Source organism: Homo sapiens, chromosome 11 (assembly GCF_000001405.40).
Source record: "Homo sapiens chromosome 11, GRCh38.p14 Primary Assembly".
NCBI lineage: Eukaryota > Metazoa > Chordata > Mammalia > Primates > Hominidae > Homo > Homo sapiens.
Window position 1 is genome coordinate 130,690,649 of NC_000011.10, and position 26,704 is coordinate 130,717,352.

At 43.0% G+C, this 26,704-nt stretch overlaps 1 long non-coding RNA gene across 1 annotated transcript in view; it reads left to right on the forward strand.

The window, feature by feature from the left end:
• LINC02873 (long intergenic non-protein coding RNA 2873) overlaps positions 1-26,704 on the forward strand; it is a 44,397-nt gene extending 17,693 nt beyond the window's left edge. Inside the window, exons 2-3 of the long non-coding RNA NR_164144.1 lie at positions 22,546-22,652; positions 23,498-26,704. This is a non-coding gene — a long non-coding RNA (long intergenic non-protein coding RNA 2873). The remainder of the gene's footprint in view (positions 1-22,545; positions 22,653-23,497) is intronic.

Sequence of the window (26,704 nt, forward strand, 5' to 3'; positions counted from 1 at the left end):
GTTTAAATATTATTCCTAAATAATAAAGGTGGTAGGTAATGTAAGGTGGGGAAAGAGAGTGGTCTTGGAACTGAGGAACACTAGACCAAAGTGAAGTGTTGCAACTGAGCTCACATCTTAGAATTTTTAATAAAGAGTTGATAAATTAATGAATAAGGGACAAGATTTTTCTAGAATCAATACATTTGTTCCAAAGATCAGAAATTTTTTATGTGGGCCCCCAGTTAAAGTCAAATGCTGGAAAACAGGAAGTACTTGATAAATGTCTGTTGCAGACAGAATATATTTAAGAACAGAACTATTTAAAATAATTTCAACTTTTGTTTTAGATTCAGAGGGTACATGTGCAGGTTTGTTGCAAGGGGATATTGCGTGGCACTGAGGTCTGGGGTACAAATGATCCCATCACCCAGGTAGTGAGCACAGTAACCAAAAGTCACTTTCTTTTTCTTTTTTTTTTTTTTGTGACGGAGTCTTGCCCAGGCTGGAGTGCAGTGGCGCAATCTTGGCTCACTGCAAACTCCGCCTCCCGGGTTCACGCCATTCTCCTGTCTCAGCCTCCTCAGTAGCTGGGATTACAGGTGCCCGCCAACACACCTGGCTAATTTTTTTGTATTTTTTAGTAGAGACGGGGTTTCACCGTGTTAGCCAGGATGGTCTCGATCTCCCGACTTCATGATCCGCCCGCCTCGGCCTCCCAAAGTGCTGGGATTACAGGCGTGAGCCACTGCGCCCGGCCCCAAAAGTCAGTTTCTTAACCCTTGCTCCCTCTCTCTCTCCACCTCTAGTGGTCTCCAGTGTCTATTGTTTCCCTCTTAATGTCCATGTGTACCCAATATTTAGCTCCCACTTTTAAGTGAGAAGATGCGGCATTTGGTTTTCTGTTCCTGCGTTAATTGCTTAGAATAATGGCTTCCAGCTGCATCCATGCTGCTGCACAGGACATCATTTCATTCTTTTTAATGGCTGTGTAGTACACTATGGTGTATATGTACCACATTTTCTTTTTCCAATCTACTGTTAATGGGCCCCTAGGTTGATTCCACGTCTTTGCTATTGTGAACAGCGCTGCCATGAATGTCTGTAGAGCTGAACTATTTTGTGTAGAAGATATGCATACTGGGAATTAAAAGAATGCAAGGAACTGTGCTGCAGCTGGGAAAGTCTCACTGCACTTGGATAAGGGATTATGGTGAACATTCCTGAATTAACTGTTAAGAGGTCCATGTCCTTTATCATCACCAAACTCACCTTTATTTTTGTGGGATTTACATGGAAAAATTAGATTAGTCAAGAGGTTGAATTAGCCCTCACCATTAGAGATTAGACATGATCCCCCATTACCTATAAACTCACCTGTATCCATTCCTGTCTTCATTAACTTTCTCCCAGCCTTGGAGAGCAACGAGTGCTTTCTTAACCTTTTTGTGCTTTCCACACACCGTTAGGTTAAAAGACTCGAATGTGTCTATAACACCAGCAAATAAGTATAGGGGAATGACTTTATTAGAAAAGCAATGCCTCGGTGTGTATAAAAAAAATCTCCAATGATCATCTCTCCATTGCCTTCCATTAGCATGATGTTACTGTTTGAGTATTCACTGCCCTAACTACATTCTTTTACATACTCTTGCAAAGCTCTAGCACCTTTAAGGAAATACATGATCCTTCTTTTGCGCTAGGTTGACACTATGCTTGGTCTGTCACTTCTTATTTACAGGATGTTGGACAGAGTTGCTGATGTAAAAACCACAGCCTTCCAAACCTTTTCATTCAGCATTGTGCCTGGCAGATGTTGGCAACTGTAATATGCATAATTGTATCTCATACACAGATCACAGTCTGGTGGCACACTGGTTTGCAAGGCGGAGACGAACCCTCCCTCCTTCAGTGCAGGCTAATGCATAGATTGTGTCCTTGCCCAGTTCCCTCCTGATTTCTTCGGGACTTCATTTTATCTTGCTTTTCTCTCCCTTTATTTTCAACCCATACACCTCTCGCTTTGGCTTGAGACTCTTACCTTCACCCTGTCCTCACTCAGTCCCAGATACCTGTGAATCTCTTTTCCTTTTACTAATTTGAAGAAAGGTCACGGACCCTCATTCTGCATAACCCATTCATTCTTCAAACCACTGCAGCTTGGCTTCGAGGAACATCTACGGAAATTTCTGTCAATGCTCACCTTCTAACTTCCAACTCTTTCCAGGACTCTTTTTAGTGTCAATTTTTACTGAAATCCTGCTGCATTTGCTCATCCTCATCACTCCTCCTTTGCAAAATTTCTATTCCCTTGTCTTTTGTTCCATACCTCTGACATGCCTTCTCTTTCCCTCATGCGGTTCCTTGCCTTTGCCTGCCCCTTAAATATTGATGTGTCATAGGTTCTCATTCATGACCAGCTTTTCTTCTTATCCTAACCCTCTCCGGGGTGATTTAATCCACCTACAAGGTTTTAACCATCACTTATATGTGGATGATGATCAAATCTAAATTTCCAGCCCACACATTTCTTCTGAGATTCAAATCCAACCTGCCTGAAGTGGATCTCCTCATCCTCTAAAATACACCTGAAATTCTCTATCTCATTTGATGGCACAACCGTCCGTATGGTCAACCAAGATAGAAATCATATGTAGTTGTTGACTATTTCTACTGTTTTTCTTTTCTCAGAAGCTCTTGAACGGTCTTTTCTTGTCTATCCCTACAGCCAAAGTTTTATATCAGATCCTCATTTTTTTTCTGCCCAGATAATAGAAACAGCCTCAGAACTGACCCTGCTGTGTCCAGATCCATTCCCCTGCAGTTCACTTTCTGCAGGGCAGTCAGAGTGACCTTTTTAAACTTAAACAAAGGACGTCACCACCCCCAGTGATTTCTCCTTTGACTACAGGCTCCATGCAGGCCCGCGTGTCTCTCCATCACCTTCCTCTCCAGTGTCACCTCCCATCACTTCTAGGCAGAGCCCTTTCACTCCAGTAATGAGCAATGGTAGTAGAGATGTTCCCCTACTCATTCTGCTCCGCACCCTGGAGCCCCAGCCCCTGTCTTCCCTGTCGCTCCCAACTCTGACAAAAGCTTGCATGTTCCTCCTTCAGGATTCCATACATACTAGATCCACCAGATACAATTCACACCCTCTGCCTGACCCTGCTTGCGTGTGTTCAGGGGACCAGGTATTCTTAAGTGCTCAAGGAAGATCATCTGAAGACATACATCACTCATTATACTGATTTTGCAAACTTATTTTTCCTATAACATTTATTATTTTTAAAGTGATTGAAATGCTATAACATACTCAGTTCAGAAGACTTGGAAGAATAAACGTCACTCACCATCCTACTAGTCCTAGAAACTTCATTATTAAAATATCAACAGTGGAAATATTATTTCCATCACTTTTGTGTGTGTACGCATACACACAGATTTTTAAGTAATGTGGTGTCATTCAAAATATATTGAGCATTTAACATGTGCCAGGAACAGGCCCTACCCTCATTGAACTATAGTCTAGTTGGAGAGTCAGACATTAATCAAAGAGTCACACAAATAAATGCAAGTTACAACTTTATTTATATAGTTGAGAAATGCTAAGAAGGCGAGGCCATGGAGCTCTAAGGACATAAGATGAAGAGAACTGACCTCGTAGGAGATGAGGATGAATGAGTTCAGATTTAAAAGAAACTAGGAGTTAACTAACTCAGGAGGGTTGTGTATTGTTGAATTTCTGCGTTGAAAGCTTCTTTTCTTCCTTTAGGATTTGCACTTAGCAATAAATTGCAAACATTTTCCTGGTAAAAATTCTTTTGTGACATACACGTATTTTAGGTATAATATTCAATCATATGGATATATTGAAGTTTAATAAATCCCCTAACATCAGATATTTAAAAGTTTCCTACTTTTTATTATGAATTATGCTGCAATGAATATTTTTGCACATATGTATGTCTTTATGTATGTCTCCAATAATTTCCTAAGGATATATTTCTACAAGTGGGAGTGCTATGTCAAAGGGTGTGCATATTAAGGTTTTTGCAATTGGCTGCCAAATTGCTCTCTGGAAAGGCTCCACTGGTCTGCTTTTCCTTCCATCAGCCACAGCCGGGAATGCCTGCTTCTCGCCATGGTCACCAGCACTGCGTCCTTGCTTCCTTTGGAATCTTTACAGATTTTAATTACCCCCAAAATCATATCTTACTGAAGTTTTAGTTTTCACGTCTTTGCTTCCCATCGAGGCTGAGCTTTTAAATAAATTTTTGGCAGTGCAAATTTCTTTTGCTAGCTGCCTATTTTGTCACCATATTATTTTCAAATTGTCATTTCAGATCATCATTTTAAAATTGCATAAGTGTTTGTTTCTCAATAGATCACTGAGGGCAGAGGCTCTTTTTTTGCCCAGTATATTACTTTCGGCATAGTAAGTATTAATAAGAGTATTTTTGAAGGTGATTTGGTTTCTGTAGCATCACCAGTTACCTGAGCAGAACGAGCGTGCGGAATCAGGGTCGCTTCAGTCTCGTTATCCCAGACAGTTACCAAGATTAGAGAATCAATGCCTTCTTTCTAGATCACGTGATTCAATCATATGTACTATTTTTGCTTCTAACACTGTATAACTCCAAGTACCTAATCTTAAAGACATTCTAAGTATAAGAAAGAACCAAGCTTAGTGGTCTACAATATCTCTTTAATATTGTCTTCTCCTTTAAACCTCTGGCTCCCTAAAGGTGGTAACAAAGCCTGTGGTTCAGGGCACCCTGGCTCTTCCCAGAGAAGGGCAATGGGAAGATATTGGGTAGCTGATGGCTCTCAGCTGTGGACCTGACATCTCTAGGGGCTAGGAATAATCAGTCTTCAATGCCCAGAAGAGAACAAGGATGGCTGAAAGGATATTAAAGCAGATGATGAAAGGAATGACTTAAAGATCTGTGGGTGTTTAGCTGATAAAACAAATGATTTCAGGAGTGAGAAAATACAAAACTTGTCCTTAAATTCATTTTAATTATAACACAAATTTGTCTTACATAAATTGGATATAACACTATGGATTAATAAAGGACATGATTTACTTTGCACCCGTTACTATTGCTTATAAGTTGGTTCATTCACTCATTCAACAACTATCTAGTAAGTTCCTAACAGGAGCCAGATACTGTGGGAGGTGTTACAAACTGGAAGGAGAACAAGACAGCCATTACCCCTGCTCTCACAGAGCTTACAGTGGATCAGGAACAGAAACTGGCTGTGCTCTGGGAGGACACAAAGTGTCATGTGTAACACACTGACTTTGTCTGAGTGCCTTCATTTATGGTAACAGTGGAAGAGAAGGGTCTAGAAGAATTTGTGAAAACACTGTGTTAATGACAGTGCTGGTGCCAATAGGAACCACAGGGAAAGATCTTTTGATAAAAGGTAAATGCAACCAGATGCTGGATTTACTCAGTGACGTTTAAATTTTAAAACAGTCCACTTAAAACTATGCATCTTTATTGTCAAAATGTCTTCATGAAACAAACAAAAAACCCATTTTGTTATCTTGAGTCTAAAGTTCTCCATCTTTAATTTTTCCCTTCCTTTTGAACACATTATTTGCGAAGGCAGGTGTTCCTGGCATGCTGCTAATGAATGAAGGGACAGACTGCATTGGAACTCTATCTCTTGTTCTGCATGCCAGGTGGGAGGAAAGACCGATGACTGACTGCAAGCTGCAGGAAAGTAGTTTTTGGTTCAACATTAAGGTGAAGAATTTTGTAATGAAGGAAAAACAGAAAGGAGTTTTTTTTTTTTTTCAGAATAGTAGTGAGCTGTCTCTCTGATAATAATGACAATGCTGCAACAGCAGTGACTATTTTACTGTACACTTACTACCTCCCATATGTGTGCTCAAAGGTTTGCATGCATTATTTCATTTGATCCTCTCAAAAATAGCTAAGAGGTATTACAATCCATTTATATAGACGACGAAACCAAGGATGAGCGCGGCTGAAATATTGGCCCAAAGTCATGAAGTTACAAAGTGTCGGCACCAGGGTTTAGGCATGGAAGCATCTCCTCCCGAACCCCTGTTCTCAATTACTGAGCTAGTCTGTCAGGTTTTCATCACTGGAGGGGTTCAAGCATAAACTGGATTATTGCATGAATGAAACAATAAAGAGAGAATTCAAGCTTCAGATGAGGATGGAGGTCACAGGGCTAGTTAACAGCAAAGTCAGTAGTTCCAAACATTTTTAGTAATGGATTTTGTTGAGAATTTGACAACAATCTTTGGGCTTTCTCAAAAAAAAAAAAAAAAAAAATACATGTGTGCACACGGGTGCTACCCATTACAATGTAAAAGTTTGAAGATGCTCATGAACCTTTTGATACCATCTTGGGGTTCTAGATTGAAAGCCCTTGCTTGAAAGACACTTTTGCTCTGAGATTCTATATGCAGCTACATGCTTTTGGAGGTGAATTTCCCTCCAAGTTATGACTACAGGTGTTGAGATGGTGCTATCACCTTGTGGCACTATCAGCAAAACAAAACACTGAGACATCTCCCTTCCAGAAGAAAGAGAAGCCTTCATTCCACATTTCTCTAAGTAGGCTTTGTGTGCCACTGAAAATCTCTCCCTTGGCTGTTACAACTTCAGGTGCATTCAGAATGACTCAGAAATAGGGACCCAAACCATATGTACAGTCTCCATTCATATTATTATTTATAAGGCACAGGAGCCTGTCTCTCCCCAGCAAACCCCATTGCCAATAAAGAAGTGAAGGGAGACTGGGGAGGAGGGGCAAGATCATGGAGTGAAAGTGTCTGTGCAAGGCAATATTTTTATATGTTGTTTATTTCTGGTTCCTGCCTGGCCTGACAGCGCATGTGTTTCCAATTGGGAACGAACACGTAAGCTCAGTATCTAGAGAGAGGCTTATTGGGTGAAAGACCCTCCTCTCCTACCCTGCATTCCACTCCCACCTGCACTCAAGCACATGGGAACTCTGGTACTGGGAGTTTGGAAAACATCCCACAGCTGGCCTGGGCTCCCTCAGTCTGGCACCATCTCAGAAACATGTATGTGTGTGTCTGTGAGTACATGTGCATTGTATGGGGGTTCACTTAAACCTTCTCCTTTGGACATTTGGGTTGCAGCCGTTTCTGGGAGATTATGGATGCATGTTAGGGCCTTCTGGGTCTGCTGGGGAAGGCCATGGTGTTTATCCTCTCCTCCAGCCTACCTTCTCTTTTAATGCATTGTTACATGCTTAACTGCTTTGGCGCTGGTCCTTAGAGCAGCTCTCAGCACAGGTTCCTGATGATTCCTGCAGGGAGGCTCTGTGGGGAGGTGGGTTTGCCAAACAGGAGACAGGAGGCCAAGGGTTGTGCAGAAAACAGGTTTTTCCTCTGGCCCTGCTTCTGCTCTGCTTCGGGCCCTCTTATCTCTCATCTAGCCTGTGGGAATAGCCCCCAACTCCTTTCTCTGCCTCCACTCTTGCTCCCATTCAATTCATACTGCACCCCGCTGCCAGAGCAACCTTTTGTCAAAGGCAAAAGTTTCATTATATGGCTTAAAAGCCTCCAGTGGCTTCCTGGTATCTTGTTAGAAACAATAATCACGATATCTTCTACCAGTTTTGGAGCCCTCCCTCCGTGCCAGGTACTCAGCAAAGGCACTTGCCATGCACTCCCTCTGATAATCTTTCCAACGACCCTGCCAGGCACGATTTATTGTTCTCCGCACTTTATGGATGAGGAAGCTGAGATTGCGAGTATGTAACTAACCTGACCAAGGTCACAAAACTGGGAAACAAAGACGTTGTATAAGGTTGCGGGGCTTACACCCTGCCCAAGGGCACCCAGCAGCGGGAGGCCTGAGGAGTTAACTCCAGCCAGGCCTCTGCTGGCCAAGCCATATGCCTCGGAGAGAAGCCCCTTGTCTAAATTGTCCTGTTCTCAGGGAGCAACACGAATTCTTCAGCTCTTGACTTTCCGCCACCTGCTGATGCTGCTCTCCAGGCTATTCCTTTTGGTGCTGGTGTGACGTGAGCTGCTAGGGATACAGAGATCATCAAATATGGCTGCTAATCTCTGAAACTTATAGTTTTGCACTGAGGGCAGATGGTCACAGATAGCTCTGGGGGCAGATGGTCATGGATAGCTCTGTTTCCATAGGTTAAGAATAACCATGAACTGTGAAAAATGCATGGGAGCGCAGAGGCCAGCCATCTTATCCACCTTGGACTGGGAGTAGAAGAAGGGTGAGAGGTCCAGGAAGGCCTCCTGGAGGAAGATGATACTTGGGCAGTCTTAATAATGAGGCCTAGTTAGTCAGATGAGAGTAGAGGTAGGCAAGAAGAGGGCATTTGAGGCAGTAGGAACAAGAGCAAAGCAGGAAGGTGTAAACGACATGGAGTATTCAAGGCTCTGTTTTGAAAAACAAAAATCAAAGCCTTGGTAAGTAAATTTGCAGTGGAAAGATTTTACATCTTAAGGCAAAACTTGGTTGGAGACTTAGATCACAGTAAAGTTATGAAAACCTTCTGTACAAAATTTCAGGCAGGGCACGGTGGCTCACACCTGTAATCCCAGCACTTTGGGTGTCCGAGGCGGGAGGACTGCTTAAGCCCAGGAGTTCAGGACCAGCCTGGGCAACTAGGGAGACCCCATCTCTACAAAAAATTTAAAAAAAAGTAGCCAGGCATGGTGGCAAGCACCTGTGGTCCCAGCTGCTCAGGAGGTTGAGGTGGGAAGATCGCTTGGGCCTAGGAGGTTGAGGCTACAGTGAGCTAGGATCACACCACCGCACTCCAGCCTGGGCGACAAAGGGAGACCCTGTTTCAAAAATAAAAGATTACTGAAATAAGGACTGTCTGCTAAAGGCCAATGACTTTTGATCTGACTTGGGCTATTCTGAATAGCAGTCACCATGCTGTCAGACTTGAGGGTCTCCCTTTGTTGTGGGTCTGATGGGAGGTGGTGAGGTCATGAGGCTTGTATGAAGGCGATGCACCATTCACAGGCCTTCGTTGCATTTTTTCCTCCATTCTGATGTCTTGTGCCTTTCGGATTTCACCTCACCTGCCTTCCTCTTGCCAGATCCCAGTGATACGGAGACTTGGATGATTCAGATGGAAAAAGCATGAGTTGCCAGCATTAAGCTGCACGTGATTTCTGGGCAGGTATTTCTTAAACCGGGGCTTTATGTAGCCTTCATTTTGCTCACTCTGCACTTGGTGCAAAAGCCCATCCTGCCCGCCTGACTATCACACCTGTCCCTGCTCCATTTCTGCTCCAGGCTAACATCCCTTCACTTCTTTATCCCCAGGGCATCACTATATGAAGATTCACTCTCATTATGCCTTTTCTTTTCCCTTCTGTTCTTGCCCCACTTAAAAAAAATTAACCAAAGTAATGCATAAATGTAAAGTGTCAAACAGTGTTACAAGACTTACGACAAAAAAACCATTCCATGTTCCACCTTTTCTCTTCCCTAAGTCCTACCCCTGAGAGGGTGTCAGTTCAACTCTCAGCTTTTTTGCTTGGTGTTGCTTATTATTTCTTGTTTTTTCATTTTATTTTAAGGTATCATCCATTGGCCTCCTACCATGGGAGATGAGAATTTTAGTTCTCTTACAATCTGCCCCTGCAATATACACAGGCTTTCCCTCCCTACATTCCATAATTATGTCACAAGGTTGGTTAAACCAATACTAAATTTTTGTATGACTATGGTAATATAAATATTATTAATACCTGAGTCATAAAATTTAATTACATTTCTTGTTTTGTAATTTTTCTGGAGTTATTTTTCTTTATTAACTATTCCATGAATCTATCAAAGTTTTGCCTCAAACTCTTACAGACCTCAAAGTCTGCTCTCCACAGGGTCAGAAGCGCCATGCAGGTGGTTGACTCCCTCCTTGGTCCCTTGTTGAGCCGTCCCTAGTGCGTGCCCTTCCTTCTCTTGCTGTGAGCTGCACTGCTGGCTCCCCACACCTGCTGCATCTCCTACACCGTCCTTCTAGGAATTACCTTTGCTGTCTTCTGCTTTCAGCCCCTTATTCCTGAATACTTGCTACATAGAGTGAATGTTTGTGTCTCCCCCAAACTAATATGTTGAAATGCATCCTCATAGTGATAATATCAGGAGCTGAGGCCTTTGGGAGGTGATGAGGTCATGAAGGTGGGGCCCTCATGAATGGGATTAGTGCTTTTATAAGAGGAACCCCAGAGAGCTCCTTCACTCTTTCTGGCATGTGAGAAAGCACTGTCTAGGAACCAAGAAGTGGGCTCTCACCAGACACTGAATCTGCCAGCACCTTGATTTTGGTCCTCCAGCTCCCAGAAGTGTGAGAAATAAATTACTGTTGTTTATAAGCCACTCAGTAGGTTATTTTGTCATAGCAGCCTGAATGACTGAGACAATAGTACCTTTCTTTCTCTCATTTTATTCTTTCCCTCCCTGACTCTTTTTTGGTGAAGAAGTAGCTTCTTGAGAAAGGGTAGATGGGAGTTAAATTTTCAAAGAGGTCCTTATTGTATTCTCACACTCGACTGAAAATTAGGCTGGCTTTAGAATTTTAGGTTGGAAAAAAATTCCGCACTTAATTTTGAAGACATTGTTCCATTGTTTTTTAGCTTCTATTGTTGCTCTTGGGAAGTTCGATGCAATTCTGATTCCTAAGTCATTCCACGTTAATTTTTTTTATCTTTCTCTGGAAGCTTTCAGGACCATCTCATTATCCTGTCCGCTGTAAAATTTGGTAGCTCCATTTCTTTATGTGGATCTTTTTCATCCTTCGTGGCCTCTTGCTTTCTAGAAATTCACTTTACTTTTAGGGAAAATTCTTGTATTATTTCTTTAATTATTTCTTTCCTTCAATTTTCTATGTTCCCTCTTACTGCAAATTAGATATAATGTTGTCTAGATTTGCCTTCTAATTTCTGACCTTTACTGTTTTTCATTCTTTAACTTTTGGCCCTGGACAATTTTCTTCACTTTACCTTCCAATCCCTTAATGGCTTTTTGGTTTTGTACTTTTAACTTCTTCAGCACTTTCAGTCCCCAGGATCTGGCCCTTGTTCTCTGAATCTGTCCTTCTTCTAATCACATCCTGTTCTTGGGTCTTCTCACCAGTATGAGGATGTTCAGAAAGTTTACTTCTAAAGTTTTTTCTGCTCCTTCTGACCCTGTTTTGTGTGTGTGTGTGTTTAATTTTTCTGTTTATTTTAGTTTCTGTCCTCATGCTATAGGCTTTCATAAAATATTTAGTGACCTCAACTGGCCACGATTATTTTAGAGAGACGCATTGAAAAATTCACTGGAAGCTCTGGTGTGGGGTCTCAGTTTGGTGACTGGGGAGTTTCACTGTAAAATTCTTTTGGTGGGGGAACAGGAGGTATCTGCAACTGATTGTAGGTCTTTTCTTTCAGACCGGTCCATTTACCCAGGGAAGAGCTCCTGGCTAGAGAGGTGCAGGCCACCTTCTCCTGGCCTGAGTGTTTCGGTGCGGTGTGTGAGCTGGGCGGCTCACTCTGAGCCTGTAGACTTTCTCTTCATTCTGCGCTTTCACTGAGCATGGTACCCACTGCCCTCTGTTATGCATGGTATCCCCAAGCCCACAACCTCCCTGTTCCCCTATTTCCTGCCGGTATTGGGAAGAAACAGTCATCTGATCTGCAGGGTAGGGAAAAGGCTGGGGGAGGCCTCTCACTCCTCCTAATACAGATTCTCAACACATTCTTGAACTTTATTCTCCACCTTCAGTTCACCAGGCGCTACCCGTTTTTGAATCCTTTTGAGGTTCTGTGACCCAGATGGCCTTGCTTCTTGTCTCCTGTGCTGCAGTTTCACCCCTCTGGTAAGTCAGTTCCCATTCATTCATCCATTTTCTATCTTCCAAAGTTTGGTTGTGTCTCTAGTCTGTTGCCATCTTCTCTCATTCTCTTTGTCTTCTCATGAGTTCAAAATTCCTACTTCCATTTTAATACCATTTCAGAAGAGAATGTAGATTGATGATTTTCATGCTGCCATATTGAACTGAAAGTTATTTTATCTTCTTTTTTTCTTCTGACTTTTAGTCCTTCTCCTAAAAGTTACTTACAACAGCAGTAACTTCCTTTTGAATACATTGGTACTGAAAAGCTTGCATGCATTGAATAGGTAGAAAATAGAAAATTCATATATTCCAGAATTGAGCGTGAGAGAAACTGGCCAAGGCTTTGGTGTCTGAAATAAATCCGAGGCAATACAGGTTCTCAACTCCCAAAGAAGGCAGTGTGGTCTCTTGGAGCGTGACACTAGGCCGGTGGTCAAGAGACTTGCGTTCCTGTTCCAATTCCAATCTTCCTACTAGTTAGCTCTGCAACCATGGGCAGGTTAGTTCTCTCTGGGACTCCATTTCCTCCAGAGGACAATTCCTCCCAGTTCTTGACTTCCATGCCTGTGTTCTTAAGTTCTTGAGATTTAGCACTTACCTGAGGAATATCAGTTGCTGGGATGAAATCATGTGTGAAGGCAAACACCTATAAAAAGGGTCCTTGTTCCAATGTAGTCTGTAAGTTTTATTAATTTTCCTCTATGTAGCCTCAAATAACATTCTTTTAATTTAAAGAAAAATATCTTTTCCTACTGTCTCTGAGTAATTCCTGGCTTTGTTTTGAAATTATTGTGATCTTTGCTAAAAATACCATATTGCCGGGTAGTGGGTGCTGACACAGGCAGTTCTGGCCACCCATTTGGATTTGACCCCTTAAGAGAATCCTTCCCCAGCACATGCCTCAGGGCCCTCTCATGTGCTGATCCCCCTCTCTGGAACACTCTTCCCTACCCTTTGCTTTGAGTAACTCCTACTTACCCTTTAGTCCTCAGCTTCATATCCACTTCTTTGGACAGGCCTTCCCTGACTCTACAGACCCCTTTGGCATATGTTCTCCTACTTCCTTATCTCACTGTTTTTTTAATAGCTCATTTCACCTTTTAAATAAATAGTGCCACCTGGATGTAGCTGTTGCCTCAATTCATGGTAGGCACTCTCTCTATTTTGCCTCTTATCTGCTGGGTACAAAGTTTGGCTTCTTTACAAGTTTCCATAAGAAATTACCCACACCGTGGATGCTAGTAGAATTTACTCAAGATCTGGAGGACGTGTCTGTGTGTTAAACGCTGGAGGATGGGCCCTCCTGCCCTTCCTCAACCTCCCTGTCTTTCCTCCTTCCTCTCTTCCCTCATGGATGCCCTCGGCAGCTCCACATTCTATTCTCCTGCGCAGCGGCTCCCCTTTCTTTGCAGCTTTGGTGTCAGCTGACTTCTGGGCAGAAGAGTCTTGGTTTCCACACACATAAGAAGACAACCCTTGAAGATGGAAGGGAGCATGGCTGGCTGGGGGGACACAAGGCCACACTGTGTGCAAGGGCTTGTCAGATTCTTCTGCAAGGTGGCACCTTTCAAAGGCAGCTGTGGCGAGGAAAGGAAGCTGCCTGAGAGCACAGCTTGGTGCCTCCATGGCTCCGTGTTCACTCATTCCCAAGGCCGGAGGCCTGGAGCCCACAGAAGCTGCTGCTCTTGGAAACTCTGGTGAGCAGTGTCCTTGGATTCCCAAGCTCTTCAAATCCCAGGGAATGAAGATTAGAAAAGGCACAAAGATATAGGCAGTGTCTATCATGAGATACCAAGCTGGTAGGGGACCACAGAGGAGCCACTAGGGTGGAGACAGGCCCCAGAAATTCAGCTCAGCTCTCTAGTCCCCTACTCCAATCTACCAGGTCATGCGTGAAGATAATGTAAACATAACAATGGATGCTTATGATGATGAAAATAATATGATGTACAGAATGTATTTTGTCACAGAAATATTTATCAAGTACTACAGAAAATGTCTGATTCTAGCCATTTTGTAGGCTCAGACATGTGTTAGATATTATCTCTCTCCCCAAGAAACTTGAGTCTACCTTGTGAGAGAAGACACACATGGAAAGCTAGTCCTGCAGGTCAGCACAGGGAAGAGGCAGCACGAAGCAGTAAACCTAGCATGGCATGCTTGGTTTCAACCTTTTTACTTGCCCTATGATCTTAGCTTTGTCTTTAAAGCAGGAATGCTACCATTACCTTATAGTTTATTAAATATTAAATGAAGGGTCAGGTGCGGTGGCTCACACCTGTCATCCCAGCACTTTGGGAGGCCGAGACGGTAGGATTGCTTGAGCCCAACGGTTCCAGACCAAGCCTGGACAACATGGCAAGACCAAGTCTCTACAAAAAAAAAAATACGAAAATTAGCTGGGCATGGTGGTGCATGCCTGTAGTCCCAGTTACTTAGGAGGCTGAGGTGGGAGGATCACCTGACCCCAGGAGGTTAAGGTTGCAATGAGCCATGATTACGCCACTGCACTCCAGCCTGGGCAATGGAGTGAGACCCTGTCTCAAAAACAAAAGAAAAAAAATTAAATGAGGAAAAAACCATGCAAAACACCTATGTCTGTATGACGCAAGTATTGAGACCTTAATGGCCATTAAATCTAATTTTAATACATAACTAATAAGTGGTTATGTTTGTTTCCCAGGGCTGCCATGACAAGCACCATAAACCAGGTGGCTCAAGCTATAGATCTTGTTGCTTCATAGCTCTGGAGGCTGGAAGTCCAAGTCTCAGTGTCAGCAGGGTGGGCTTCTACCAAGGGCTGTGTGGGGAACCTGCTCCAGGTCTCTCTCTTAGCTTCTGGTGGTTTGCTGGCAATAGTAGGCTCTCTGCCTTGGCTTCTACTGCATCACCCTGATTTCCGCCTGCATCTTTGCAGGGTGTTCTCCTGTGTGTGTGTCTCTGTGTCCAAATTTCCTACTTTTATAAGAACACTAGTAGTGGATTAGGGACCCACTCTACTCCAGTGTGACCTCACTTTGACTTTATTAATTACATCTGCAATGACCCTATTTTCAAATAAGGTCACATTTAGAGGTACTGAGGTTATAATTTTGACATATAAATTTTGGAAGACACAAGTCAACCCATAACAATAGTAAAAGAATAAAAATCTAGAAAAGGTAGGAGAGATGGCAACAGATCCCTAGTACCCAGGGCGGTCAGTGGAACCTCTTAGATCACCTGGGGCTGAATCCAGGACGGGGCAGTTGGCAGAAACTTGGTGGTGGTGGGCATGGGGGCACAGCGAGAAGAATGTGACAAGCAAGGACACAAAAGCAGAAATGTGCAGGCATGTTTGAAGGGCAGTGAGGAAGCCAGCCAGGCTGGACTAGAGAGTATGGGCCAGGGAACACTTTGGAAGCCTTTGACTCATGAAGGAAGGAGTTTGCACTTCAGGATCTTGGCACAAGGCAGACAGTGAAGGATTATGATGCATAGCACTGAGACAAATAAGCAGTTAAGACCCGAAGGTGTAAATATTTGCTTTAGTTATTGAAAATGACACTAGAGAGCCATATTACTAGTGCATTCACTGTGAGTTACTTTACAGTAGTGAGATTGGATTGAGTGGACTTGTTCTCTATCCACCCTGGTTCTCTAGGCATATATTTGCCCTCTTGGCTGGTTGAACGTAGAGGTACAGTCTGATCAGATGAGAGCTTATCTGTGAGCCAAGTGACCTGATTTATATGGAGATCAGTCCAAATTAAGAGCACACACAGTGTTCTCAGAGCTGAAGGGAGGATAACAACAGAGGTCTGGCTGTCTGTGTTCTTCAGGAAGTGCTGGCAAGGAATAGGGAGCTCTAAGAGAGGAATAGGTGGTCTGCTGAATGGAGAGATGGTAGAAGACACAAGTAGCAGTCTCCAAAAACTCAGGTTTATAGATTACTACAGCTCACTGCGTTCATCCTTGCTCCATTAGGATCTCAACACCTAGGTTATACAAGAACAAATGTCTCATGGAAAAGTAAAAATGTATCCAACCAATCAATTGTCTGGTCTATGTGATGCCAACTAATTCAAGGGAAACTACTGTTTAACCTCAGTCTCTGGTTGCGGTGGCAGTAAGTCGGCACTGTCCTGATGTCTGGCACATCTGACACATCACTCAGCGTAGCAGCAACATCTGGCTCCTCGCAATTCTTGTGGGCAATTTTGCAGTCACCACAGACAGTGTAGACTCATAATTAACTTGTCAACACTCCCCACCAGGAATTTCCACTGGTCCTGGAGGGCCTAGCTCAGGGTGTGAGCCATAGCACAGGAAGAGTTTCTGGTCCTGACTCCTGGAACCAAGCCTGGCAGTTGTGGTGGGTGAGTGTGCTGGGATCAAGTCTGCGTCCACTGCTTTTCTGTATACTTTCAACTCTGCAGAGTTCTCCTTAGAAGGAATCTATTGTTGGTTGTTTAAAGGCTGCTACTATAGACCTATTACAGGGAGAACCCATACTCAAAGCCAATGAAAGCTGACAACACTGGTCTAATGTGCAAGTACTTTGATTTTGTATGTAACTAGCATGCTTCACTGCATGTTGAAATACATGGGTGCTCCCCACCTGGGCTTCTTTCTCTAAGGTCGTCCACTCACTTGAGAATTGGATGCCACATCTGTCTCCTTTTTACCATGACCTTTGGCTCTGACTGTCCCCCAGCATTGAGATGATGCGTGGAAAGCCCACTTATTACTCAGCCCTTGATATACAGCAAGCTCCAAATAAACGGTAGATAAATACAACAATTACAGCCACCCCCACAGTGTGCTAATTGTTGTATCAGCAAAGGCTCCACCAGTCTAGGAATTACCTTCTGTTTGGGTTTCTTATGAACAGTCAAGTCCAAACTGCAGCACTGACTGGAATTATCAGGGAAGGAAGAGGTGTTGGCTTCCCTGGTGTGGCCAGCAGTCATGGAATCAGCTGTAAGTAGTGCTCCACGAAGGGAGTCGGTGCCTTCCAGATATGGCAGGGATTGGTGATCCCTCTTGTTTTCTTTATCAGTTCTAAGTCATTCACTAGAAAGCTTGAAGAAATCCAAAGCTAGAAGATTTTATGGGTAGTAGTAGATAGTTGCTAGTTTTTCCCATTTGAAAAAATTTAGTTAGAGGAATAATCATTCTTCATTTTGTTTATGACTTAGTGCCTTTGGTGTTGTGCAGTGAAAGACGGGAAAGACAGAGGACACCGTTCCTATGATCAGAAGTTTACCATCTAGATGGATAAAGAAGGCATTCATACATAAACGCAATAGCTACAGGAAAAGGTTTTCAAAACTTCCCAGGCACTACCCCAAAGGATTCACAGATTTAGTGCAATTCCTCTCAAAATACCAATGATGTTTTCCGCACAAATGGAAAAATCTACCCTAAAATTCATAAGGAATCTCAAGGGACCCCAAATAGCCAAAATAATCTTGAAAAATAAGAATAAAGTTGGAGGACTTATTCTTCTGATTTTAAAACTTTCTACAAAGCTATAGGAATCAAAACAGATTGAAAGTGGCACAAAGATGGACATCTATACCAGTGGAATAGAATAGAGAGCTCAGAAATAAATTTTTGCATATATGATCAGGTGACATTAAACAAGGGTACCAAAACCATCAATGAGGAAAGAAAAGTCTTCTCAACAAATAATATCGGGAACACTGGATACATGCAAAATAATTAAGTTGGACCCTTACCTAACACCATATACATGAATTAATTCAAAATAGATCAAAGACCTAAATTTAAGAGCTAAAAATAGAAAACTCTTAGAAGAGAACATAGGGGAAAGGATTCGTGACATTGGACATGGCAATGATCTTTAAAGGTATGAAACTACAAGCATAGTCAACAAAAGAAAAAAACAGGTAAGTTGGATTTATTAAAATCAATAAATTTTGTGCATCAAAGAACATGATCAACAGCGTGAAGAGACACTCTTCCCCCATGGAATAGAGGAAAATAGGCAAATCATATATCTGATAGGAGATTAATATCCATAAAATATTAAAAAAAAAACTCTTACAACTCAATGACAAAAACAACCCAATTAAAAAACGGACAAAGGATTTGAGTAGACGTTTCTCCAAAGATTATACAGATGGCTAATAAGCACATCAACAGATGTTCAGCATCACTCATCATTAGAGAATTGCAAGTCAAAACCACAATTACACAAAGTCATTAGAATAGCTATTATCAAAAATAAAAACAAAACAAACAAGTATTAGCAAGGATATGGAGAAATTAGAACCCTTGTGCATTGCTGCTCAGAATGCAAAATGGTGCAGTGCTATGGAAAACAGTATGGCAGGCCCTCAAAAAATTAAACAGAATTATCCTATGATCCAGCAAATCTACTTCTGAACATACGCCCAAAGGATTGAAAGCAGGAACTCCAGCAGGTATTTGTACATCAATGTTCATAGCAGTGTTTTATTCACAGTAGGCAAAAGGCAGAAACAACCCAAATGTCCATTGATGGATGAATGGATAAACAAACTGTGGTGGGCATATGCATGGGGTATTACTCAGCCTTAAATGACAATGAGATTCTGATACATGCTACCTCCTGGATGAACCTAAAGATACTACGCTAAGTGAAATAAGCCAGGCACAATTGAACAAGCATTACATGATTCCATTATATGCGGGGCTGGAGGAAAGGAAGAGTGGAAAACTGTTGTTTAATAGGTATGGAGTTCAGTGTGGGAGGATGAAATGGTTCTGCAGGTGGATGGTGGCGATGTTTGCTCAACCATGTATATATATTTAATGCCACCAATCTGTACACTTAAAATGGTTAAAAATGTCAAATTTTATGTTACATTTCTTTTACCACAATTTAAAAAAATTTCCTGAGAAATCCAAATGACAAAAGTGATCAGCCTGGGGAAAATGTAAATGGATGGCTCCCTGGGGGAGCAGAGTCTTCAGGGAAGTCATGACCGCAGAGGGAAGACCTAGGGATGCTTGTCAAAGGCTCACACACAGCTCTGCATCAGCTTGTGTGTGGACAGCGTAGGGAGGCCTGGTCTGGCAAGGGCAGCAGGTGTTGGGGCTCTGGGTGAATGACGCTGGGTGAACATGGGGTGGTGGCAAGGAGTCTGCAGGAAGAGAAGGGCCGGCTGGTGGGGCTGGGTCAGAGCCCAGACAGGTCAATGGGAAGGGCTGTGTGCTGGAAGAGGGACTGGTGCTGCTGTGTTATCAGAACAATCTGGGAGAGAGACAGCAAGGGAGGAAGTCTGGGTGAATGGCTAGGACCTGTGGCAGCAGCCCAGGCCTGAGGTATCAGGGCAGGGGGTGGTAACAGTGGGGACGGGAGGCCCTGGCAAGCCTTAGCAGTCAGGCATGATTCCCATATTGTCTTCCTGGTCACCAGTGGATGCCCGGATCCTGTGCCTTGGGAAGGTCAGGGTTGAAACACCACCACCCTCTTCTTTTTGCAACTTTTCTGTTCTTCTTGTGGGCTCCTTTTGAGTTAGGTGTGTACAAGGAATAGACTTTAGGGTTTATCTGGGGAGTTTCTTCAAGTGGTTCTCTCATATAGTAAATGAGAAAGTTGGGTTAGATGACAGCTACAGCTCTTTCCTGCTTTTAAACACTGTGATTCATTTACTTGATTGATAATTGCTCAGTTCTTTCCATGTGCCAGGCACTGCGTGAGCCCATAGCTCGTACAACCGTGACCAAGAGGGCAAGCATCTGCTCTCATGTGGCTGCCTCTCCTGCCTTTGTGCCATTCCTGTTAAATGAACTCGTGTGTGCCATGGTGCCCGGCTCATACCTGGAGAGAGTAGTTGCTACACATGGTACCTATTGTGCTCACTGCTTCTCCTGGCTCTAGGTCCCACATCAACTCATCCTTCATCACATTGTCACTTCTCATGTGTGCTGTTTGCCCACACACCTTTCCTTTCTCTTTTCAGTTGTTATAATGCTAAGTCCAGATTACCAGCAGACACCACCACAGCATAGCCGTGAGCTCACCAGGCTTGAAGCAGGCCTAGCATTGCTTAGCAACTGTGAAAATAGCTTCAGCAGGCCCCACGGGACGCTCGAGAACCTCATCTCTGGGGTGTGTGGGAACGGAAGAGCTTCAGTTGAAATAAAGATGCAAACAAACCGAATTGGTCCCCAGACATCACGCTTCACATTGCCTGACACTCAGCGGAATGAGATACTTGTGTCCCACTCTCTCAAGCACCAAGTAAGCAGTCAGGGCTGGAGAATCTGCAAGCTGTCTCTTAGGGATACACACATAGCTTCACACACAGACAAACAACGATGTGCAAATCCAGCTGCACATGCATACCCGGTTCGGGCTGACTTCCTATTCCATCAGTCTGCATGGAGTCAGGTTGCTGTTTGCATGTCAGAGCCCATGGGTCATCGTGAGTGTTTGGATTAGTGAATGAGGACAAAAGTGGCTTCTGTCAGAGATGTTATGCAATTACATGTGATGGATGCTCGCTTCCCTCCCTGGTTCTTCTCCACTGCGCAAACTTTGTAATAGGTGGGAAGGTTCAAAACCCTTAAAGGCCAAATGCCACACCAAGTGGGGAGGTAGGGTGGGTGTTAAGGAACTAATTTCTCTCTCTGCACCAACTGGTGCTTCTGGTTTGCTTCTGGAGATGCCTTAGGTGCTCAGTCCCTGTAAAAGGAATGATTTTAAGGTGATGGAAAGAGACGTTTCAGCAGGAGAGCTATGCTGAGGAATTTTCTGCTATATCAAGAGTAGAAACAGGGCTGAGTGAGTGATTCGGTGACCTCATGAGGGTTGCCGCCCCCTGAGGCCCCCAGCTGTGGAAGATGATATGATCAGGAGAATGGCACGTTGCACTGACTTCCGGGTCTATAGAGGTCCAGTCTCCACCTCTGATTGTTGATTTGTCACAGCAGGGAAGAGTGAGGTTGGCTGGGCTCACATCTTGCAGAATGGCATTGCAGGCCCTGGGTCAAGTGGCTTGGGACTGAATTTTGGTTCTACCACTTAGTGGCTGTGTGGCTAAGGCAAGCCTTCGTATGTAAAATGAGACTAATGATAGCTCACAGGGGAGGCGAGAGACATTTTGGGGCTGTATGCATATGGTTAAAAGCCCGGACTCTAGCCAGCAATGACTTCTGTCACTATAACTTATACCCAACATGGTGTAAGTTTCTCATGCCCCTGGACTCTACAGCCAGCTCACCTCGAGTGCTTCTACCTGGCCAGGTGTCACTGGCTCTCCTGTTGCTCGACCTTGATGGCTTTACTGCTGCTTGATCACATCCTGTCTTTGGGCAGGTTCTTTAATTCCCCCTCCTTGCTCCTCTTGGCTTCCTTCACACCTCCTTGCCTCAATTCTCTTGGCATCAAGTTACCTCTATTTTCCTGAGCTTGTAGTTGACTCCTAGCTCATTAGAAAATTATCTATGTAGAACTCTTTAAGATAACTTAATATTGCAAGGTTTAAAAAAATATTGACCCAATTCATATGAGCTTAGACTTAGTGCTTCTACTTCTCCAATCATTTATCTTAGTCTTGCGGCTGGACTAGAGCCAGGATGCTTTGCTTCCAATCTTCTGACATTTTCCTCCTATGGAACTGAGGTGAGAATTAGGGTGACCCTGAATGTGTTGTGAGCCAGAGCTAACCCAGGATAAGTCTGGAATGAAACAGGGTCTGTAGAAATGGCTGTCTCCACATTCTTACCTTTAATTCACTCTGTATTTCACTCCAATTTGGCTTCCACTGTCACCAGTTTACTGAAATAGTTTTTGCTATAGGCAATAATTATGTTGCCTTCCCCTATGAACATTATTTGTCTTTTTTCTATTCTATTTTTAAAGTCAACTTATAGCTATTCAAAGTAGAAGGTATATTTAATTATTCAAAATCTTTGTGGCTGATACAAGCATTAGAAAAAGAATGCATAGTTAATAATTGTGAGTATGGGCAGTTTCACAGATTAATTTACTTTCTGGAAATCTAGAATCTCTAGAATGTATTAAAGTTATAAAGAGGTTGGATTAACTCATTTTATTTTGGTAAGAACACTTAACATGAGATCTTTCCACTTGAAAAGTTTTATGTGCACAATACAGTATTGTTAACTAAGGACAATATTGCACAACAGATCTGTAGAACTTATGCATCTTGCATAATGAAACTTTATACCCATTGAACAGCAATTTCTATTTTGGCTAAATGTAACCACATTAAAATACTTGATATTGTCTTTGGTCATGAAGCATAAATGTATAATGGTAGATGTATTTTAATCCTAATTCAGGAATGATATTTAAACAAAACTCTCACTCAGTAAGATATACATGACTACATTAGGAAAATCACATTCTAAGTTTTATAGAACACTCTCAGGTGATGTTAACAGATCAAAAAATAAGGAGAACCAATGCTGTCTTATACATATTTAAGCTGGGAAGTTTCTCAAGTAGTAGAGTCATATTCAGGAAGTAATATTTAAAATATAAACTCTTAATTGCAGTCGCTTCTCTGTTAAGTCCATCTCTTTCAGATTCTTCGGTTAACAGCAATACTCTAAAAATCAACTGTAAAATCTTAGCTTGCAATGTTTTGATTTTTTCCTGAATTTTGAAACTTTTAAAGTGCTATTACATGTCTTATAAATGAAATAAATTAAACATATTCTCAGGAGACTACAACTCAGGAGCAGCTGGATGAGATGGAAGAGATCCCCAGAGAGAGCCAGTGTGGGAGGCAGGACTTCCATGCCCTCTCCTGTCCCACCGCCTCCCCAAGGTGCGCTCACCAACCTGGAAGCCCACGCCACTCATCTTTCACCTCCCTTGTCCACGATGGGGTTTTAAGCTCCGCTGACCATTCCTTCCTTCTTGGAATGCTCTGTTGAATTCTGGGACTCCACACTCTCCTGATTTGTCTCCTACGTCTCTGGCCATTCATTCCCTCAGTGTTCTTTGAGGGATCTTTTCCTTCTGCCCAATCTTTAATGTTAAAGTTCCTCAGGTTTTGATCCTAGACCACCTTTTCTTCCTACTCTACTTCCATCTGGGAGATCTCAACCACTTTCGTGCCTTCAAATACTCTCTGAAGATGATGACTGCCCGTCATGCGTCTCTAGATAAGACTTGTCTTCTGACCTCCACACTCTCACATGCAGCTCCTGTTGGCTCTGTCAGCCCCCTCAGTTCCATCCACCTCTCTCCCTCCTCAGCCCTACTCCTTTGTCCCTCACCTGGACAATTATGATGGCCTCTAAGACACCTCCCTGCCTCTACTCTGATGTCTTCTGCACTCAACTGCTAAAGAGATTGTTTATCAATGCAAATCGGAGTCTGTCATTCACCTGTGTAGAACTCTACAGTTGTGCATCATTCTTAGGGTCAAGTCTAATGTTATTAACACGGCCTGGTGGGCCCTGAATGATCTGACTCCTACTCATTGCTTGGGCGCTTTGGCTTTCTTTCAGTTTCTTGAATTTACCAAGTTTCTATCCCTCTCACATTCCATTTCCTCACCAGGTGTGCCCTTTAATACGGTCATGAGTGCCATGAATTTTTCCTTTGAGGCACTTGTCACAATTGCCACTAGATAATTATTTGTTCTTTATTTTAATTTTTTTTCAGAGACAGAGTCTTGCTCTGTTGTCCAGGCTGGAGAGCAATGGTGCCATCATAGCTCACTGCAGCCTTGACCGCCTGGGCTCAAGCGATCCTCCCACCTCAGCCTCCTGAGTAGCTGGGACTACAGGTGTGCACAACCACACTCGGCCAATTATTTATTTATTGTCCGTCTCTCCAGTGAAATGGTCCTGAAAATTAGGTATCATGTTTTGTTTAACTCTTTATCCTTATCCTTAATGTTAGACACTGTTTTATTTGACTCAATAAAGACTTCTTGAATGACTGAATAAACCAGTGAGGGAAAAGGGGGTGTCAGGATGGGGAGATCCTGACATTGAGCTTTAGCCTGAACCTTGAAGGTGTTTGTTCAGATTGGTGCCTGGGAATAGAAGTGATGCCCAACTTTCTGCCAGATGTAGATCTTAGACTCCCACAGAGGGGACTGTCTGTATCAAGGTCTCCAGGTGGTCCAGAGGATAGCATTGCGTATAAAAAAGCCCAATGACAACAACTCTGTGAGCCTCTGGGCTTTCCTGTTGGGATCAACAGAGGGGAAATTGTGACCTTTTTTTGTTTTGACATGTTATTAGGTCATAGTATGATGCTGTGAAAAGAGATGAGTTTAGGCTCAAGCAACAAATAAACCTCCTTTGAATTCTGACTCAACAAGCTAATAGCTTGTAAAATCAGGTGAATTATTTAACCTCTCTGAGCCTATTTTATAGGGCTGTTGTGAGGATTAAATGAATAATCCATGTTAAATGCTCTGCTCAGTGTTTGGTACCTAGAAAGAACTGCCTAATTGTTGCTGTTGTTGTTGCTGTTAATATTATTAGTTGTCCCAGCTCTCTAATAACAAATGATTTGAGTAGGCTGCTTCCTTTAGCTGTAAGATTATCATCTTTTTGGGACAAGATGACCTCTGCAGTCTCTCCAGCTCTAGGATTCAATGATCAGGGGACTTTGAGATCACCCCCATGCTGGAACTCTTTGAAGCATTTCCATGGGAAAGGAAAGAATCACTTCTCTTTGCAGCCATGCTCAAACGGATTGTCCTGGAAGATAAGCAAAGATGACACATGTAGGAGAGGAAAGTCCAGTTCAGTCTGGCTCAGACCCTCCTGGAATCTGGTACTTTTGGGTGGGACAGGAGACAGATGTTCCATGACAGCCAACATCGTGTACTTCAGACTTTCTGGGAATGATGGCAGGAGAGGAACCAGAAGAGCAGGATGACTTGAATTTATTTTCTTGGAAAGACTATTTTGTTGGCAAGACTTATCCCTGGCCTCATAAATGGACCAGAGGCTAATGGACTAGGAAGAACTGCTCTTGAGCCGCTCCCTCCCTGCTGGTCAGGTCCAAGAACATTGCCTCCAAGAGCATGGACCCTCACCCCAACCCACACTTGCCTTCCCCTGAGGTCGCAGGCTGCCTTTCTGCCCCTTTGGTGATCTGCCATTAATCTGATACATGTGTAATTTGAATCCATTTGGATGAAATTGTAGAGGAGGAAAAGAAGAGAATGCAGAAAGGAACAATGATGCTAAGTAGCATGGACAAAGAACAGAGGCATCTTGTGCAATAGATAGGCCTCTATCCAACTGAATGACAGAAACCCTAAATTACAGTAGTTTAATCAAAGTTAAGATTTATTGGTATCTCACATTAAATTGTAGGGAGGCAGATGAGAGTTGCAATTGTGACTCTGCAATCATTTGTGACTGCCCTTGTTCTATACCACTCCTCTGCCCTCTTCAATATTTCTATTTTGTGGCCCAAGACAGTGGCTCCAATTTTTGTCATTACATCTGCATTCTAGCCAGCTAGAAAAAGAAAGAAAGGGGAGGGGAAGTGCATGTGCCTTCTCTTTAAGGACACTTCCCAGAAATTGAACACATTGCTTCAACTTATATCCCACTGGCCAGTACTTAGTCACGTGGCTACATCTAGCTGTAGAGACACTGGAAAATATGTCTTTATTCCAAGTGGCTGTGTGGTCAGCTAATTTTTATATAGTTCTATTATTTTTTAAAAAGGCAAGAACAGGTATCAGAAGACAATTAGCAGTCTCTGCCTCCCTTGGAAACAAGAGTGGATATTACAGATTGATGTCATAAAAATTGCCACAGTCAGCCTTGGGTGTAATCTCTAGATCCAGGCAGCAAGGGCCGATTGGAATTTTATTCCGACCAGATGCTAGCTGGGCAATGCTGGGCACATTGTTTAATCTCCCTGAACTTCAGCTTTCTCTTCTGTAAATAATAGTAATAACAAAGACTTCCAAGAATTGTAAACAGAACAAAATGAGTGATGTGTGTAGAGTGCTTCGTGCCCTTTTTGTATGTAGTCATGGGCCGCAGTAGATATTGAGGATCACTCTATTTGTTCTGGATGCACAGCCTCCCTGAGGATGCTCTTTTCCTCGGGATGCTCTTTTCCTCGGGATTTCTAGTATCATCATTCTTGTGACTACTATCCACACCCTTCAGAAAAGCCATCATTTTCTCCTGGATTAATCTCTTTCTTGAATTTTGAATTCCCCTAAAAGCCAAAACCTCCATTCTGTCAGGGCAGAACAGAGCCCCAATGTTTCTAAAGAAATAACTTACAACCAGAAAGTATCAGTAAATTCCCTTTTCCATGTTGCTTCATTCTCTCAAGCATGCATGAAATTTAGCCTTAATAAGTGGTTATTGTCCACTTACTAATAACTGCTTATGAAAACCATGCCTGGGGTCTGCGGTACAGGCATACAGCCCCAAGAACAGCTCCAACCTCCCCTTCACCTTCTCCTCCACCTGCTACCTAACAGCCAAAGTCTGTGCTTCTCCAAGAGGACTGTAGGAACCGTTATCATTGCAGGAAAGGAGCCTGTCTAGGCTGCTTCTTCCAACTCCATCCCAGTAATGAACTTGACCCTAAGATGCAAGGCGTCTAATCCCTTGAACCCGCTTGAACCCGCTTGAACATATCTGCTGGACTGATGTCTTCTGCAGGTTGCAGATCCTGACCATGGGCTGCATGTGCTGCCGGATGGAGGCAGGGCCATGCCCTGAGTGTTTTCTTCACATGGCACCAGTAGCGTTGTGTGTGATTTCTGATAAAATTGTAGAATAGCTAATGACATTTGACATTTGTTCAGAGTTTTGCAGTTCACAAAACATTTTCATATGTCAGTAAAAATAGCGAGGATAATACTAACCATGT